The 16,748-nt window shown below is 48.9% G+C and overlaps 1 pseudogene across 2 annotated transcripts in view, besides 3 other annotated features; it reads left to right on the top strand.

Moving 5' to 3' along the window:
• ANTXRLP1 (ANTXR like pseudogene 1) overlaps positions 1-16,748 on the top strand; it is a 50,584-nt pseudogene that overhangs the window by 11,532 nt on the left and 22,304 nt on the right. The window contains exons 3-4 of one of the 2 annotated variants that reach the window (NR_103827.1): positions 3,981-4,056; positions 9,106-9,186. The product of NR_103827.1 is annotated as an ANTXR like pseudogene 1, transcript variant 1 (transcript). The remainder of the gene's footprint in view (positions 1-3,980; positions 4,057-9,105; positions 9,187-16,748) is intronic. The other variant, NR_103828.1, reaches the window with a different exon arrangement.
• Positions 5,849-6,350: an enhancer, noted in NCBI's record as "H3K4me1 hESC enhancer chr10:47622963-47623464 (GRCh37/hg19 assembly coordinates)". NCBI's record gives its function as "activates a minimal SCP1, AML or CMV promoter by ChIP-STARR-seq in primed H9 embryonic stem cells {active_cell/tissue: H9 hESC(primed)}" and the evidence as "EXISTENCE:reporter gene assay evidence [ECO:0000049][PMID:30033119]".
• Positions 6,426-6,926: an enhancer, noted in NCBI's record as "H3K4me1 hESC enhancer chr10:47622387-47622887 (GRCh37/hg19 assembly coordinates)". NCBI's record gives its function as "activates a minimal SCP1, AML or CMV promoter by ChIP-STARR-seq in primed H9 embryonic stem cells {active_cell/tissue: H9 hESC(primed)}" and the evidence as "EXISTENCE:reporter gene assay evidence [ECO:0000049][PMID:30033119]".
• Positions 8,135-8,634: an enhancer, noted in NCBI's record as "H3K4me1 hESC enhancer chr10:47620679-47621178 (GRCh37/hg19 assembly coordinates)". NCBI's record gives its function as "activates a minimal SCP1, AML or CMV promoter by ChIP-STARR-seq in naive H9 embryonic stem cells {active_cell/tissue: H9 hESC(naive)}" and the evidence as "EXISTENCE:reporter gene assay evidence [ECO:0000049][PMID:30033119]".

The following is a 16,748-nucleotide window of genomic DNA, read 5'->3' as shown; positions in this document are numbered from 1 at the left end:
TTCTAGAATTTTTATAGTCTCAGGTCTTAGATTTAAGTCTTTGATTCATCTTGAATTGATTTTTGTATAAGTTGAGAGATGAGGAACCAGTTTTATTCTTCTACATGGTGGCTTGCCAATTATCCCAGCACCATTTGTTGAATAGGGTGTCCTTTCTCCACTTTATGCTTTCGTTTGCTTTGTCAAAGATCAGTTGGCTGTAAGTATTTGTGTTTATTTCTGGATTCTCTATTCTGTTCCATTGGTCTATGTGCCTGTTTTTATAACAGTACCATGCTATTTTGGTGACTATAGCCATGTGAATAGTTTGAAGTTGGGTAATGTGATGCCTCCAGATTTGTTCTTTTTGCTTAGTCTTGCTTTGGCTGTGTGGGCTTTTTTGGTTCCATATGACTTACAGACACATGGAACCAAACCAATGTCATTGTTCACAGATATTTTAACCCGGGTATACAGATCAAACAAATATTTAATTAGGCATGCAGAACTAAAAGTGAATTTGCCAGAAAAGACATGCCTCACAAACAAATGTAAATTATGTAGAAACTAGGGTGCTCAAATCAGAAAAACATTTGTCATTATACCAGAAAGAATTACTGGAAAAGACAAAAAATTGTTATCATTTCAGGAGGGATGTAAGCTCTTTGGCTTACGGTGGCCTTATCCAAATCAGATGCTGAATGAAGTCAAGAGCTTCCACCCAAAAGTAGGAGGCTCAGCCTGAGAGAAGACTCTCCAGGGCAGAGAAAGCAAGTCACAGAAACAGGGAGCTCCAAGGGCTCAAGTGAGGACTGCACACCAATTCCAAGAGTGGCTGATTTCTTCAAGTAGTGGTCCTACTCCAGGTCCTACTTCTGGACACCATTTATGTCAACCTGAACGACAGAGAGTTTCTCTCTAAAAGAAAACAGTATTTATTCAGGAACGGTGCCCGGCACTGGGAATATGTGTGCCATAGTAATGTGCATAATCAGGGAGGTAAAGAAGACAAAGGCTTTTAAAGGAGAAATGAAGATTAGGGAATTGTTTTGAGACCATTACTCTTGCCTAAAAAGATCAGTTACAAGGGTGACACTAGTCCAAGGCTGGACAGGCAGTTCTTGGGCACATGTTCCTGTAGAAGTATTTTTTTGTGTTAAGTCTGCAATGGCTTTTGTGCAAGGTTGTGGTTTTTGCAAAGTCTTTTGTGATATTTTTGTTATCAGGCATATAGGCATAAAACCCTCTCTTTGTAGCCTTTCTTAGCCCTAACTGTCATGGACTTTATTTTATTTTTTTAACACAAATGACTCCATTTTAGTTCTGACAACTTTCCCGTATGGATGGAGAACTAGAGAGAAGCATGATGGAAGAGCCTGCCCAGGGCCATACAGTTCATGTTGCAGGGCAGGAAAGCAGACCCAGGCAATCTTCCTGCCCTACCAGGGCCTTCTGCCTCCCTGTGGTGGCAGCTCCTGGGAAAGGGGGTACCCAGCCTACCTCCGTGAAGGGCATTCAGCTGCTTCCTCTGTGGGCCTGTGGGTGTACTGGCTTCCCACCCTGGAGGTTACCATCTACCTCTCCATACACAGGCCAGCACCGACGTCTCACAGTGGGGAGCCCATGCCACAGCTGTGAGCACCTGCGTAGATGGCCATTCTGCTCCTGGTTGATGGCTTATCCAGGAGTAAAAGGAAGCTTATTTTTTAAAATAATTGAGAACAACCTTTAAACCTATTTTCACTATTAGGAAGATATCCCCGGAACATGTCCCTGGAGTGTTGGCCACCACTGAACACGTCTCCCCTGCACCCCCCACTAGATGGCAGCGTGCCTTCCCTGGTGGCTGATGCCAGACCGGAGGTGCAGGTCAGGGAGAGACTTCCCTCTGTCCTGCATATGTCCCTATGGGGAAGCAGGGGCAGAGCCTAGTTCTGGCTTCTGGGAAGTGCCTGGATACGATTTTTATCAACCAAAATAACAAACAGAGACTGAAGTGCTATTTATTCAGGAATAAGGCATGGAAAACACATGCCAGAGTAAACTATGTGCATATTTAGGGAGGTGAAAAAAAAGCAGAGAAAGGTTTTCAAAGGAAAATGAGGAAGATGCCATAATTGTTTTGAAATCATCCTTGGCGAAAACGTCGATACCACGGGTTCTGGCAGTCCTAGGTTGGCCAGGCAGTTGCTGGCCCTGGGAAGCCGGGGTCCTGGCAGCCAAGCCCAGTGGGTAGAGAGCTGGAGCCAGGCCAGCAGGCAGATGCAGCAGGGCCCGTGCCCTCCCCAACACTTCAGGAGGCATGAAAAGGATGTGGGCTCAGGATGAGAAGGTTCTATGTCTACATGTTACAGAACTCTCCTGAGCCCACCACACTCCCACAAAAAATAAATAAATAAATATATAAAGAAATAAAAATTGGGAAACAAAATTACAGACTTAAAACAAACAAACCCAGTTACCTCCTCAGGCTTCCCCCTTTTGGTAAATGGTGTCACTGTCCACCCGGTTATTCTGGTCAAACACTCAAATGTCATCTTTGACTCCTCTGAGCTTCTTCCTCACATCCATCCCACCAGCAAGTCCTGTTGCCTCCATGTGCAAAATACATCCTGGATCTGCCCAACCTGGACAGATTCACTGCACAAGAAATAAAACCCCAACCCCTTTCCAGGGCCCACGAGGCCCTGCCCCCTGTTCTGGATCACCTCTTTCCCTCCTTGACAAGGTCAGCGAGTCACTGCCCAGGGCATTGGCACATGATCTTTGCCTGGCTGGCTCCTCATCTTTTTAATTTCAGCTGAAATGTCACCTTTTCAGAGAGAATTTATTATTCATGGAAGTTTTCAACAGTATACAAAATAACAAGAATTGTGCCATAAACCTACTTTCAATAATTCTCAACCTGCCCCCATCTGCTTTCCTTGGAACCCTTACCACAGAGTATTTTGAAGCAAATCCCTGGCCTTGCATTATTTCATGTTCCTCTAGACCAGAAATTGTGGCTCTACAAGATAGGAGAAGTCACACATAATGAAGTGGCTGTCCCTGCCCCTCTGGTCCCCTCACCTCCTCTGGTCATGGACATCACAGCACGTTGCACTCTCTGTCATCTGTTCTGTCCTGGTTTTTTTTTTGTTTGTTTTTTAATTTTGTTTTCTGTGTCCCATGCAATCTCTAAATGTGAGTCCCTTGAGAGCAGGGACTCTGCCTGCCTGTTCCTGTTACACAGCAGAGCATTGCACAGGGCCTGGGTATGGTGGGTGCTCACAGGGGTCTCTGTAAGAGGAAGGCAGAGCCCAGATGCTGGTCCTGGGCCTCAGGGTCAGCTCTGCATGCTGAGGACAGACATGGGGAGAGACACTGGTCAGACAAGTGCATCGACATTCTTCCCATGTCATTTCCTTTTAGATGAACATCCAATCAGTATGGACAAGACTTCCAAAACTTGCCCTGGACCAAAGATAGAAAAACCTGGCAGGAGGCCCTATAGGTTAGGAGGCCAGGGGGTCAGGGTTGGGCACTGTGAGCTGTACAGAATGTGGATGCCACCCCCACTGCTGGGGCGGCACGTGTCTGCCACTGGGTTAAGGGCACCCTCTCCACCTTCTATTGTTGGTGGCCGCCCCCAAGGTATTCAGGGATCTGCAGCATCCTAGGGTCTGTGAGGAGGACAGGATGCAGGAGATGATTGCCTGAGGAATGGTACCTTTGCTCCAGGTTGCTTCTCAGAGTTAAGCCAACAGACTCTGTAAATACAGAACAGCTGGGATGGTGACACCAAGCAGTGGTCCCTGGTCATTTAGGACACGGTCACAATGGCATGAGACCCCATGCAGGGCCCCTCGCTGCCTGACCCACTTACCCTTTGGTCATCATTGCTGAGTTTACCTGCAAGCGTTTGGGGAATGACCTCTCATTACCCACGCTGTCCACTGGCCAAGGTCAAGAACTGCATCTCTCTGGGCTGGCTCTCACCGTCTGTGTTTTCTGTGCTTTAGGGAGTACTTCATTGAAGTCAGCTTGAACAACGGCAAAACATTCAAGAGCAATGTCAGCATCACCAGCACCACATGTGTGAGTACCAGCATGGGGCTGCAAACACGTATGAGGACTGTCCAGAGTCCCTGCACTAGAAGGAGATACACCCTGGGGAGCACAGAAAGGGCAGACAGTTTCCAGGCAGTCCCAGAAAGTAGCGTGTGCAGCAGGCACCTGAGGCTGCTCCAACCCGGCTTCCAGCTGGCACAGGTGGTTGAAGCTGGGAGGCTGTCTGCCAGGAGCTTAGAGTCCAGTACCTCTTGGGTGTCCACCTTCTCCACGTGGACCTCCCAGGCCCAGGAGCTCTGGAGGATTCCACACACTGCCATCAGGGTGCGTGTGCCACTGAACTGGTGCCCCAGCTGCTGATCTGGTCCTGAACCTGCTCATGACCCTGGCCCCTGAGCCTGCCTGGTTGTAACCTGCTGTCATTGCCCAGATGCCTTGAACCTCCTTTCTGCCTCTCCTCCTTGCTCGGGCCCCTGAGATGTCCCTCCCTGCTCCCTCACCAGGTCCTGCATTTCGTCCCCTCCTGCTGCTGAAGGGGAGGCTCTGGGCACTGGGACCCGGGCTCAGCTCCGAGAGGCCCCTGAGAATGGAAGTGCTGTGCCCCCAGTGCCTGCTTTTCAGAGCTCCACATCTTTGGGCAGCGTGGCCCAGGGCCGCATAGGGAGGAGGATGTGCTGGAGGGACAGGCGGGAGGCCTGAGCCCACTCCACCACCTTGTGTCCAGTCTTATTTGTGAGGACGCACCAGTGTTGACAGTCCTCCCTCTGGGTCTACCCCTGCCTGTCCCTGCATATCCACGCATGGATTAGCAGGCTGAACGCACACATTCCCCATCAGGAATCCACCCACTAACGGCTCCACAGTGACAGGCACATCAGGAGCAGCCCTGGGGCTCCAGCCTCACCGGCGGCCTTCATGCTCAGCCTCGGTGGTTCCTCTCCTTCAGCCAGCCAGGTTCTCAGCACAGGCCCCCTCCCCTCCTCTCCCCTCCTTTCTTCTCCCCTCCCCTCCCCTCCCTTCCCTTCCCCTCTCCTGCCTTCCCTTCCCCTCCCCTCCCCTCCCTGCCCTCCCCTGCCTTCCCCATCTTTCTCTCTAAACAGAACTCTGGATTTGGGGAAGGCCTGGGCAGCCTGTATTCCCACGGATGCTGCCCACGTTCCCTTTACTGTGAAGAACACCCAGAGAAGAGTTCTGGTTGCTTACACCCCATGTGGCCCTGGTTCTGAGCCAGGTCTTTCTCTGAGCTCTCTAAACCTCACAAGTGCCCCCAGGGAGGGAGGCCCGTTCTCTTTGCAGAGGTGTGGAGGCTGAGGCTCAGAGCTCTGTGTGGATGTGCCCACGGTGCAGAGCCTGGAATTGGGGATAGAGGCTGTGGGGATGGACCCGGGTCTCCTGTCCTTGCTCCTGCGCCTGCACCTCTCTTGGCTGCAGCACCCCCACCCTTGCCCATCATTGTACCTGGAGATTTTGTGGTCCTCACAGAAGCCCTGTGCTGCAGGCGAGGTGTGCAGTGAGGGTGGGTTTGTCAGACAGTGGAAGCTTCCGGGACTTTCTTGGCAGGGCTCTTGGGCAGAGACTTTCAGCGGGGCCAGAGGAGGGGTTTGTAGTTCCCTTGGAAGCATCCCTTACCCCCGGCCCCACTGTTGTGCCTTGAGGTGGGACCACCTGTAGAGAAGGGAGAATGGGCAGATGGGCCTCCAAGTGGTGGGCACCAGGATGAGGCTACCCAGGCCCTCCCAGGCCTGGCATTCCTCTGTCCCTTAGGCGTGGTTCATATTGCTGTCTTTCTCAGCCAGGGCATTTTTTGCAACTGGCTCTATTTTGTGCCGCCCCTGCTGCTTGCGCCACTGCTGCTGTGTTGTGTTTGGTGGCTGTGCCGCAAGAAGGCAAGTGATTTTTGCCCACCCAGCTCTGGGGCCCAGGCACAGGCCCACCCTCTGAGGGACTCTAACATGTGACTGCCCCATGATCCCGCCTGTGGGAAGTTTCCCTCAGCTCCCAGCTCATCACATGAGCCCGGGGAGTCGCAGACCTGTCCACACATTCCCAGAGCCTAGCAAACCTGGGCTTCTGCAGGGCCTCCTGCCCCGGGCTGGCCACAGAGAGCTGGCCTGGGATGTCCTGGACATGGGGCTGAAGCCTGCCCTGGCTCCTAGAGAGAAGTGACCCCAGAACCCCTGAAACCAGGGCTGCCTCAACAATCCGGACTTCTGGAAGCCACAGATGGACAAGGGCCAGGAGGCAGCCTTTGTGTGGAGGGAGGAAGAGAGGGGCCCCCATGAGGTCCTGAGGGCCCAAATGGAGGACAGTGCTGTAACCCCCAGCTGTCTGTGCCTTGAGGAACCAGCATGGATCTCAGCACATGTCTGGTGCCTTCCCCATTCCTTCATCTGTCTTTACTGAGCTCCAGCTTCCCCTGGGCCCCATGCTGGGCTGGTGAGGGACAGAAATGAAGCTCCCCACAGGCAGCTCACAGTCCTGGCTTGTTGTGGCTGAGGCTGAAATGTCCACCCCACAGAAGTGGGAAGGGCCCCCTGTAAGGCAGAGCAGGAGCCAAAAGCAGAGATGGAGGCTGGGGCGGGGAGAGTGTCAGGGGTGCTGGAAGCTGGGGTGGAAGAAGCCAGCCCGGAGAGCTGCAGACAGAGGACAGAGCAGAGGGTGGAGAGGACAGAGCTTAGCCCCATCCCCAGGCTCCGGATGCAGGTGTGGCTCCATTTGGCCTCTCTGGATCCCTGTTTCCTGGCAGGGACAAGGGTCTGGCTGGGGTTAGCTTCTAGGGACTGCAGGGCTGAGGGGTGAAGGAGGCCTGGCGAGCACCCAGCTGGGAGGGACACCAGCCCAGTGAACACAGGGGCCAGGAGTCGGGGAGCAGGCTGTGGCTCACCTGGGCTGGGGACCCACACCAGGGGCCATAGGCAGTGGTGAGTAGCTGAGGTAGGAGGCCCTGAGCCTGGGATGGGGTGGGAACAGGCCTCCCTGGCCAAGGGTGGCCTCTGAGGTGCTGCAGAGTGGGCCCAGGGAGGCTGCATCTGCAACCAGGTGGATGCGGACAGTCACCTGCAAATGCTGGGACCATTGCACAGCTCCCAGGGCAGGCCTCCTCCAACAAGGCTGGCCTTGGGAGAACCAAGGCGACCGGGATGAAGTTGTTAGCATTTAGGGGAAGAGCCATGTCTGCAAACCAGGAGGAGTTTGCTTTTTTCTCACGTGAAGGATGGTCCCCTGTGGTGTGGGCTTCTTACTGGTCCTTTCATTCCCCAGACACACATCTGGGAGTGGCCGGCACTGTGCCCGGTGCTGGCTGAGGCAATGACACCATACCCTTGCTCTTAAGAGTTGTCTGAAAAGTCAGCAGACCATTGTTTTTTAGGAGCTAGAGCAGGAGATACCATCATCTCCACCACCACAAACTCTGCCTCCACTGCCTCTGCCCCCGGCTCCTGTAAACACCTGCCCCACTGTGATTGTTTGTTGCTGTAGGTGTCAAGGAGTGTTCTGGATGAGAAGGATAGAGGTGAGAAGCACAGTGGAGAGGGGCTGCGACCCCCAGCCTGGAACTGTGGGAGGAGGGGGCAGATGGGTCCCACTGTGGAGACCTGGGCCCTGGAGGAAGGCAGGCTCTACAGGGGCTGGACTTTAGACACGTGATGCCAAGAGCAACCAGATGGCCACCTCAGCCTCGTGCCCCAGTGGCAGGCATATATGAGGGCTCCTGTCCTCTGCACCACCAGGTCTGTCCCCACACATTGAACTCCCTCTCTAGAAGGATCCATGTTTCTGTACAGTGGCAGCTTCTGATGTCTGACCAGTCCCTGGTTTCCACAGGGGTGCCTCAGCTCTGGCAATGGCCCTGGGCTTTAGACCACCTGCCTGCAGGTGCATGGGTCAGGCAACCTGAGTCACAAAAGGTCATGCAGATCAGAAAGAAAAAAAAATAGAAATGACCAGTCCTGACACACGTTCTCACCACCACGAACACTGCAAGGATGCCAGGGGCACCTGCCAGCCCGGGCAGCAGGATCTTCAGGCAGTGAGGAAAAGCTGTCACTGAGTGGGCTTGTCGCCTGCTGTAATGGGCTGACAGGTGCTGCAGGGAGGGGAGGAGGTGGAGGCCTGAAAGCGCCCTCACAAGACACCTGTGCAGGAGCTTGAGCCCCGGAGCCAACACAACAGCCACTCTCCCTGAGGAAACCTCCTTCATGGGCGGGTCCAGGGCCCATCTTGCTGAGGGGAACCCAGCCAGGCAGCAGCAGGGGGCCCTGCACAGGGGTAGAGAGGGCGCCTGGGTGGCTGATGTTGAGGGAGAAGGACCCCAGAGTTCCTACCTGGCTCTGCCCCTCTCCCCCTTGGTCCTGGCTCTGTCTGTGGTCGGATCTCTTGCTTCCTCCTGGGAGGGTCAGGCTCCTCTGCAGCCTCAGTGGGCATCTGGGGAAGCCAGGCCTGTCTCTCCTCAGAGTGTGGGGCACATGTCTCCAGGGGGAGGAAGTCACCTGCCAGCGGCCTGCACTGCCTTGCAACACACGGCCCTCATCCCATCCCCACCGGAGCCCAGAAAGGCCTGACTGCAGCGCCGAGTGGCCAAGGGGCTGCCCGCCGTGGGTCCTGGGCTGCTTTCTGGCCTGTTTTTCTCTGCCTTCCTCTTCTCTCTTCCCTGGTGTCAGGTACCTACTCCCTGAGCAGGGCATGGTCCTCTCACCTGCCTTCCCCTTGTGTGCCCCAGCAGCAAGGCTCCTTCTCCCTGCCCAGGCCCCCATGCTGGGCCCCCAGGCCTAACTCATGCTCCCCTTCAGGACCTCTGCTTGGAACCACAGGCTCCTCCCGCCTTTGGACTTTTTGTATGAATCTGCCCCTGGCTTTTCTTCTTCCTACAACCAAAATACTTTTTTGTCCAGATTCCAAAACTCTCTGTGGCCACAGTGACCATGTCTCCAACATGCAACCCTGCCAGGCCCCTCCCCCAGGGGGAAATGGGAGCTTTGTCTGCGTGTGTTCCTTGGGATAGAGCCATGGCGGGCCGGGGGGTCCTGAGAAGGCATCCAGGCTGCATGGCTTCATCATGGCCACGTTGCTTTTCAGGGCAATCTGGATATCTTCCGTGACCTCTCTCACCCAAGCTGCTGCCAGGTGCCATGGATGTGGTGTCAGCACAGGGGCCAGGTGAGCTGGGGCACAGGGACACACTTGATGGACAGAAGGCCACTGCTTTTTCCCTGACTGCTGTCCTCTGGGATTGTGGCTCAGAGAGCCATGTCAGGCGTCTGCCAAAGAGGACGGCACAAGACACACAGAAACGGTGCCCATGGGCCTCCCAGCCCGTTTCTGGACTTGGGACTATGTGCTTCCTTTGCTGGTCCCCTGGGGTCAGAAGTGCTGGTTGGGATGGCTGACAGCGTTGTCGGGGCAACATTGGTTCTAACAGGGAATAAGGATTCCTTCCTGTATCATTGCCTTGGGACCATGGGGAGGACGAAATTGTTAAGATTTTCTCTTTGTAACTTATTATGAATGAGGACTAATAATTACTAACGAGGCCTCAGTAATATACAGAGTCCTCTGTGGGCCAGTTGCTAGCCTAGGCCATGCTTTCACTGTTTTCATCCTCCCAGTAACTGTACCTACGTGCTATTATTATCCAGTTTACTGAAGGGGCCTGAAGCGCTGAGATATTAAGTGGCATGTCCTTGCTCCTAAAGCCCGCGAGTGATAGGGCTGGATGTGCCCTGGGCCTGGCTCCTGCCCTTACTCTGCACTGCTCTCCTTTCGGATCAGCACCAAGGGGCTTCTCTGCTCAGGCCCTGGGTCCCTGGAGAGCCCTGCTACTGGCTGGGCCTGGGGCTCATCTCCCTGTGCCTCCCACAGTCCAGCCTTTTACACCTGGAAGATGATCTCATCCCCAGGGTTTATAGAGGGACCTGCACTGGCCAGACCTCCTGCATCAGGTCAGCATACGCTCTCAGTGGCCAGGTGGCTGCGCACTGAGAAGGCCTTGCAGGCTGCAAGCCTCTGGACGCTGCTGATAAGAAACGGGCCGGGAGGCCCTGGGAGGCGTGCTGACACCTGGCAGGGCATTGCTGGTGTCAGAGGCAGGCAGGGCTGCTCCAGCTGCTGGGTTCCTGGCTCTGTGCCTCTGCACAGGGCTCTCAATCCCAGCCACGCTTGCACAGAAGCCCACTTTCCATCTGAGGTCCCATAAGGCCTCTCCACGTTGCCACAGCCCAGTTCCAGTCCACAGCCTAGTCCAGATTTATGCACTGAACAGCGAGAGGCTCAGTCAGAAGGGACAGAGCTCGACTGTGGGGTGTGAAAACGGGCACCTCAAGCAGAGGGAAGGCAAGAGACGGGAGGGTGGGCATGGGAAAGGGCCAGAAATGGCCTTACTGCCCAGTGTGGTGAGATAGGGGATGGAGCAAGTCTCTGAAATTGTCCCATTCCCAAAAGCAGCTAAAGTTTGGGGGAGGGTGGCAGAGTAATTGTATTAAGGAGGGCAATTACACTGCCCAGGGCTCTGCCAGGCCCTTTCCGCTGTCACTGTGTGAAGTTCACCCTGAAATTCTCCAGCAGGAGAGACAATCTGTATTTTACTAATGGCAAAATAGAGGCCCAGAGTGGCCCAGAAAGTTGCCCAAGGCCACAAGTGGCTGTCTCCAGGGCTATCAGAAATCAACCCCAGATCTGTCCCTAACCCAGGGAGGCCCATAGCTGTGGCTTGTAGACCTGGGCTCCCTTCTAGCTCCTCTGCCACAATCTAATTTGACCTTGTCCTTCCCAACTGTAGTCGTGAACACCCGACTGAGTGTCTTGTAGGATTTCTGTCGGGTACCCAAGAATTCAGACAGGCTGACAGGAATTCCTGTTCTCCTCTTTAAGCCTTTGGTGTGCTGGCCCCAGGGTCTAACGTGAATCATACACTAAAGAGGACGCGTCCCCCTGAGACCTTCAGCCCATTTCAGAGCCACAGGGTCAGACTGTAAGCCTAGTCATGAGTGTACAGAGCCAGACACCAGCCAGGCTGCTGGTGAGCTCAGCAGCTTTCTGCTTGGAGACACTGGGAATGTGACCTTCCTGCCTGAGCCAGGGGTTCCCTGAGTGAGAAGGAGCCCTGAGGCTGGAGGAGAGAGAGTGCATCTCAGTGAGAACCCGCTGGAGACCAGGCTTGGATGGGTGGCTCGGCCCCAGCCAGGCAGCCCAACTGCAACTGCAGGGCTGTGGAGGCATCAGTGAGACGTCCTGCCAGGACAGGCATAGGCTGTCTGTCTCTTCACTGCAGAGTGAAGAGGCCACCTGTGTGCTGCACACCCCTCTTCCAGGATCTCCCCTCAGACAGGGATTCACTCAGGCCCTCAGCAGGTTGGGGGATCCTGACAGAACCAGTGCATGCCTCTTTCTCCATCCATGCCCGGCCTTGTGAGGAGGCTATTTCCAAACTCCTCTTCCTGACTTGGCATTGTGGGCTGACCTGGGGGTGTGATAAGCTCGGGAAGTTGAGCCTCTTCGACTGGAGTGTGCTGTCGAATTTAGAGGAGCTGCTGCCTTTTAAAACCTTGTTTAGTTTATTGTTTCAGCAAATCCAAACATTTTGCATTTCAGCACATAATAATGCAGGAAATTCTCCAAGGCTCAGTTTACCAAAAACCTCAGCATTTTTGTGGCAAAAGCAGTCAGTCTTGTTTAATTTCAATTTTTTTTTGTTTTAAATTGAGTGTGTCTCCCTGCTCCATCACCTTCAGTTCCCTGAATAAATTTTTTGATAGTGTCCTCTTCCAGGCCATCCCCACTACACACTCATACAAAATGAAGCAGCAAGATTCAGAGGCTCTTGAGCCAGACTCTACCTCCCATCCATGCTGAGGATTCTCCTTCACCTTATCCTGTGGATGCTCATTATGTTAATGGGAAACAATATTACTCGATCCATCAGGAAAGTCAGGCTAATAGTGTGAAACCTTACTCTCTGTCACCAAATATAGTGCCCACAATGATATAACAGCCTTTCCAGTGAGTTTAATTCGTGTGCGCACCACAGCAGGAGGCCCTTTAGAAACTGGATCTCATTTCATTCTCACAACACCCAGGAAGGCTCATAGCTGCCATTCATATAGATCTTAAGGTGGGCCAGACACTGTTGCAACTACATTCCACAAACTAATATATGCCATAACTCTATTGTGGGGAGGAAGCTAGAGGCCCTAGAAAGTTAGGTAACCTACCCAGGGTCACACAGCCAGGAAGCAATAGGACCAGCATCCAACAGCCTGGCTCCAGGTCCTTACTGTGTGCATGGCCACCTCTCTGTCCTGCAAGGTAGTCACTACTGTCTACATTTCGCAGCTGTGGACACCGAGGCTCTGATGTTTAGTGATAGGCTCAACGTGGCAGGGTTGTTGAGTGGTAGAGCCGGGCTATGAACTGACCTGAGGGGAGGCTCATGTCTGAGTCAGGTTCCGCCCCATATCCTGCTGTCAGAGTGATCTATGGAAACACCTGCAAGTGCATCTCTCTACAGTGCAAAATGTCACACAGCAGGTCCTTGAATAACGTCATTTCATTCAACGTCATCTGAACACTGAGTGAGAAATGACGATGCTGATCAGAAAAAAATCCATTCCCGGCTGAGGTCACTGTCTGTGTGGAGTTGGTGTGTGAAAAATGGCATTGGTATTTTTTTTAGTAATTGCATCGAATCTGCAGATGGCTTTGGGTAGTACAATCACTTTAGCAATATTAACTCAACCAGTTTGTGTAAATGGGATGTCTTTCCATTTGTTTGTGTCCTCTTCAATTTCTTTCATCAGTGTTTTATAGTTTTCCTTGTTGAGATCTTTCACCTCCTTGGATAAATTTATTTCTAGGTATTTCTTTTGTAGTTATTGTTAATGGGATTGCCTTTTTGATTTCTTTTCCAGCTGTTATTATTGGTGCTACTGAATTTTGTATGTTGATTTAACAATTTTTTTAAATTATAATAAAGATGAGCATCTCACTATGTTGTCCAGGCTGGTCTCGAAATCCTGGGCTCAAGCAATCCTTCCACCAAAATGCTGGGATTACATATGTGAGCCACTGCACCCAGACTCTATGTTGATTTTGTATCCTGCAACTTTACTGAATTTGTTTGTCAGATCTAGAAGTTTTTTGGTGGAGTCTTTAGGTTTTTCTAAGTATAAAATCATGTCATTTGCCAAGAGGGAAAATTTGACTTCCTCTCTTCCAGTTTGGATGCCTTTTATTTCTTTCACTTGCCTGATTGCTCTGGCTAAGATATCCAGTACTATTTTGAATAGGAGTGGTGAAAGTGGGCATCCCTGCCTTGTTCCACTTCTTAGAGGGAAAGCTTTCAGCTTTTCCCCATTTCATATGATGTTAGCTGTGAGTTTGTCATATGAGGCCGTTATTATGCCTAATTTGTCAAGAGTTTTTGTCAAAAAGCTTTTTTTTATTTTATCAAATACTTTTTCTGCATCTGTTGAGATGATCATATGGTTTTTGTCCTTCATTCTGTTGATGTGATATATCATGTTTATTGATTTGTGTACGTTAAATCATCCTTGCATCCCCAGAGTAAATCCCACTTGATCATGGCGGGATTATCTTTTTGATGTGCTGTTTCACTCAATTTGCTAGTATTTTGTTGAGGATATTTTGTGTCTATGTTCATCAGGGTTATTGGCTTGTAGTTTTCCTTTTTTGGTGCGTTCTTGTTTGGTTTTGGTATCAGAATAATGCTGGCCTCATAGAATGAGGCCTCTTCTATTTTTTAGAATAACTTGAGGAGAATTTACATTAGTTCTTCTTCATAAGTTTGGTAGAATTTGGCAGTGAAGCCATACAGTCCTGGGCTTTTCTTTGTTGGTAAATTTTCACATTACTGATTCAATCTTGTACTCATTATTGGTCTGTTCGCGTTTTCTGATTCTTCTAGTTTCAATCTTGGTAGGTTGTAAGTGTCCAGGAATTTATCCATTTTCTATAGGTTTTCCAGTTTTTTGGTAAATAGTTGTTCACAATAGTTTTTGATGTGTTTTGTATTTCTGTAGTATTAGTTACTATGTCTCCTTTTTCATTTCTGATTTTGTTTATTTGGGTCTTATCTCTTTTTTTCTTGGGTAGCCTATCTAGCAGTTTATCCATTTTATCTTTCCAAAAAACCAACTTTGCTTTTCATTGATTCTTTGTATTTTTAGCCAATTTCATTTAGTTTTACTCTGATCTGATCTTCATTGTTTCTTTCCTTACACTAATTTTGGGTTTGGTTTGCTCTTGCTTTTCTAATTCCTTGAAGTACGTCATTAGATTGCTTACTTGAATTGTTTCTACTTCTTTGACGTAGGTCTTTATTGCTACAAACTTCTCTCTTAGGCATTGCTTTTGCTGTATACCATATGTTTGGGTATGTTGTGTTTCCATTTTCATTTGCTTCAACAAATGTTTTGATTTCCTTTTTAATTTCCTCATTGACACAATGGTTGTTCAGAATCACATTGATTAATTTCCATGTACTTGTACATTTTCCAAGTTCCTCTTGTTATTCATTTCTAGCTTTATTCCATGATGGTCTGAGAAGATATTTGGTATGATTTTGATATTTTAAAAATTTATTGAGATTTGTTTTGTGACCTGACATATGGTCTATCTTGGATAATGTTCTATTTGCTGATTAGAAGAACATGTATTCTGCAGTTGTTGGATGAAATATTCTGTAGATGTCTCCTAGGTCCATTTGTTCTAAGCTGTAGGTTAAATTTATTTTTTCCTTGTTGGTTTTCTTTGTGGATGACATGTCTAATGGTGAGAGTGAACTGTTGAAGTCCCCAAAAATTACTGTATTGAAGTCTATTAGATTTAATAATATTTGCATTATGTATATGGGGGCTCTGGTGTTGGGTGCATATATCTTTAGAATTGTTGTATTTTCTTGCTGAATTGATCCCTTTATCATTATATAATATGACCTTCTTTGTCACTTTTTAATGCTTTTGTCTTAAAGTCTGTTTTATCTGATATAAGTATAGCTACTTCTACTCACTTTTGGTTTCTATTTGTGTGATATATCTTTTTTCATTCCTTTCCTTTTAGTCTACATGTGTTTACATGTGAAGTGAGTTTCTTGTATGCAGCATATAGTTGGGGCATTTTCAAAATTCATTCAGCCAGATTTTATCTTTTAAGTGGAAAATTTAATCCATTTACATTCAAGGTTATTATTGATATATGAAGACTTATTTCTGTCATTTTGTTAAATGTTTTCTGATTGTTTTGTATATTTTTCCTTTCTTTCTCTCTTGTAGTTTATCATTATGGTGTGCTGGTTTTCTATAGTGGTAACATTTGAGTTCTTTTTCTTATTTCTGTGTTTACTCTACCAGCAAGTTTTAGACTTTTGTATGTTTTCATGACGGTAGCTATCATTCATTCACTTCCAGGCATAGGACTCCCTTAAGTATTTCTTCTAAGGCTGGTCTAGTGATGATGAATTCCCTCAGGTTTTGCTTGTGTGGAAAAAACTTTATTTCACATTTTTTAAAGATAAAGAATAATGTTGTTAGGTATAGTATTATTGGCTGACAGGTTTTTTGGCCCCCTTTTTAGGGGGGAAATATATTATCCCATTCTCTCCTGTATTATCCCATTCTCTCCTGGCCTATAAGGTTACTGCTGAGAAATTAACTGTTCTTCTGATCGGGCTTCCTATATATGTGACCAGAGCTTTTTCCTTTCTCTTACTCTTTTTAGAATTCTCTGTTTGACTTTTGACAGTTTACTATAATGTGCTGTGGAAAAGACCTTTTGAGTTTTTAATTACCTGTGAATTTCTAAACTTCTTGTATCTGAATGTTAAATCTCTTACTAAATTTGGGAAGTTTTCAGCTATTATTTTGTTAATCAGGTTTTCTATACCTTGGGTCTCTTCACCATTTGGAACACCCCAAATTTCTGTTTTTGGTTGCTTTATAGTGTCCCGTATGTTCTGTAAGTTTAGTTCATTGTTTTTTATTCTTTTGTGTGAGTAGGGCATGGGGACGGGGGCTCTGGCTGGGTTATTTCAAAAGGTCTGCCTTCAAGTTCTGAGATGCTTTCTTCTTTTTGCTCCACTCTACTGTGGAAGCTCTTGAATAAATTTTTATTTTGTTCATTGAATTCTTCACTTTCAGAATTTCTGTTTGATTCTTTTTTCTATTATATCTGTTTCTCTGGTGAATTTTTCATTCATATCCTCAGTTGATTTCTAACTTTTTGTATTGTTTATGTCCTCTTGTGTCTTACTGAGCTTTTATAATATCATTTTTAAAAATTATTTTTCCCACGTTTCATAAATTTTTTTTCCAGTGAAATCTGTTGCTAAAGAATTATTGTAATCTTTTGGAAGTGTCATATTTCCTTGTTTAGTCATGTTTCTTGCGTTTTACATTGATATCTGCACATCTTTTGTAACAGTTGCTTCTTCATACATTTTGGATTGGCTTTTTCCTGAAGATATTTCCATGGTTTTTATTGGGTAGGACACTTTAGCTTTGCTTCTAAGTGTATGAAGTAATGTAGTGTCTCTATGATTTCTTCACCTCTAAGCAGTATCAGTGGTGTGTGATTTCCCTAGTGGCTTAGGCTGTGGTTGTTAGTGGAGGCTATGATGATGTTTTGCTGCGGTTGGGGATGTTAGGTGGGTGTGCCCTCAAACCCTGATGGTGGCAGTGGCAGGGTAAATGTACCTCTCCTTGTGACCC

This window comes from Homo sapiens, chromosome 10 (genome assembly GCF_000001405.40).
Source record: "Homo sapiens chromosome 10, GRCh38.p14 Primary Assembly".
Taxonomy (NCBI): Eukaryota; Metazoa; Chordata; class Mammalia; order Primates; family Hominidae; genus Homo; species Homo sapiens.
Note: the sequence above shows the minus strand (reverse complement) of the source record. Positions and strands in the feature narration are given on the sequence as shown.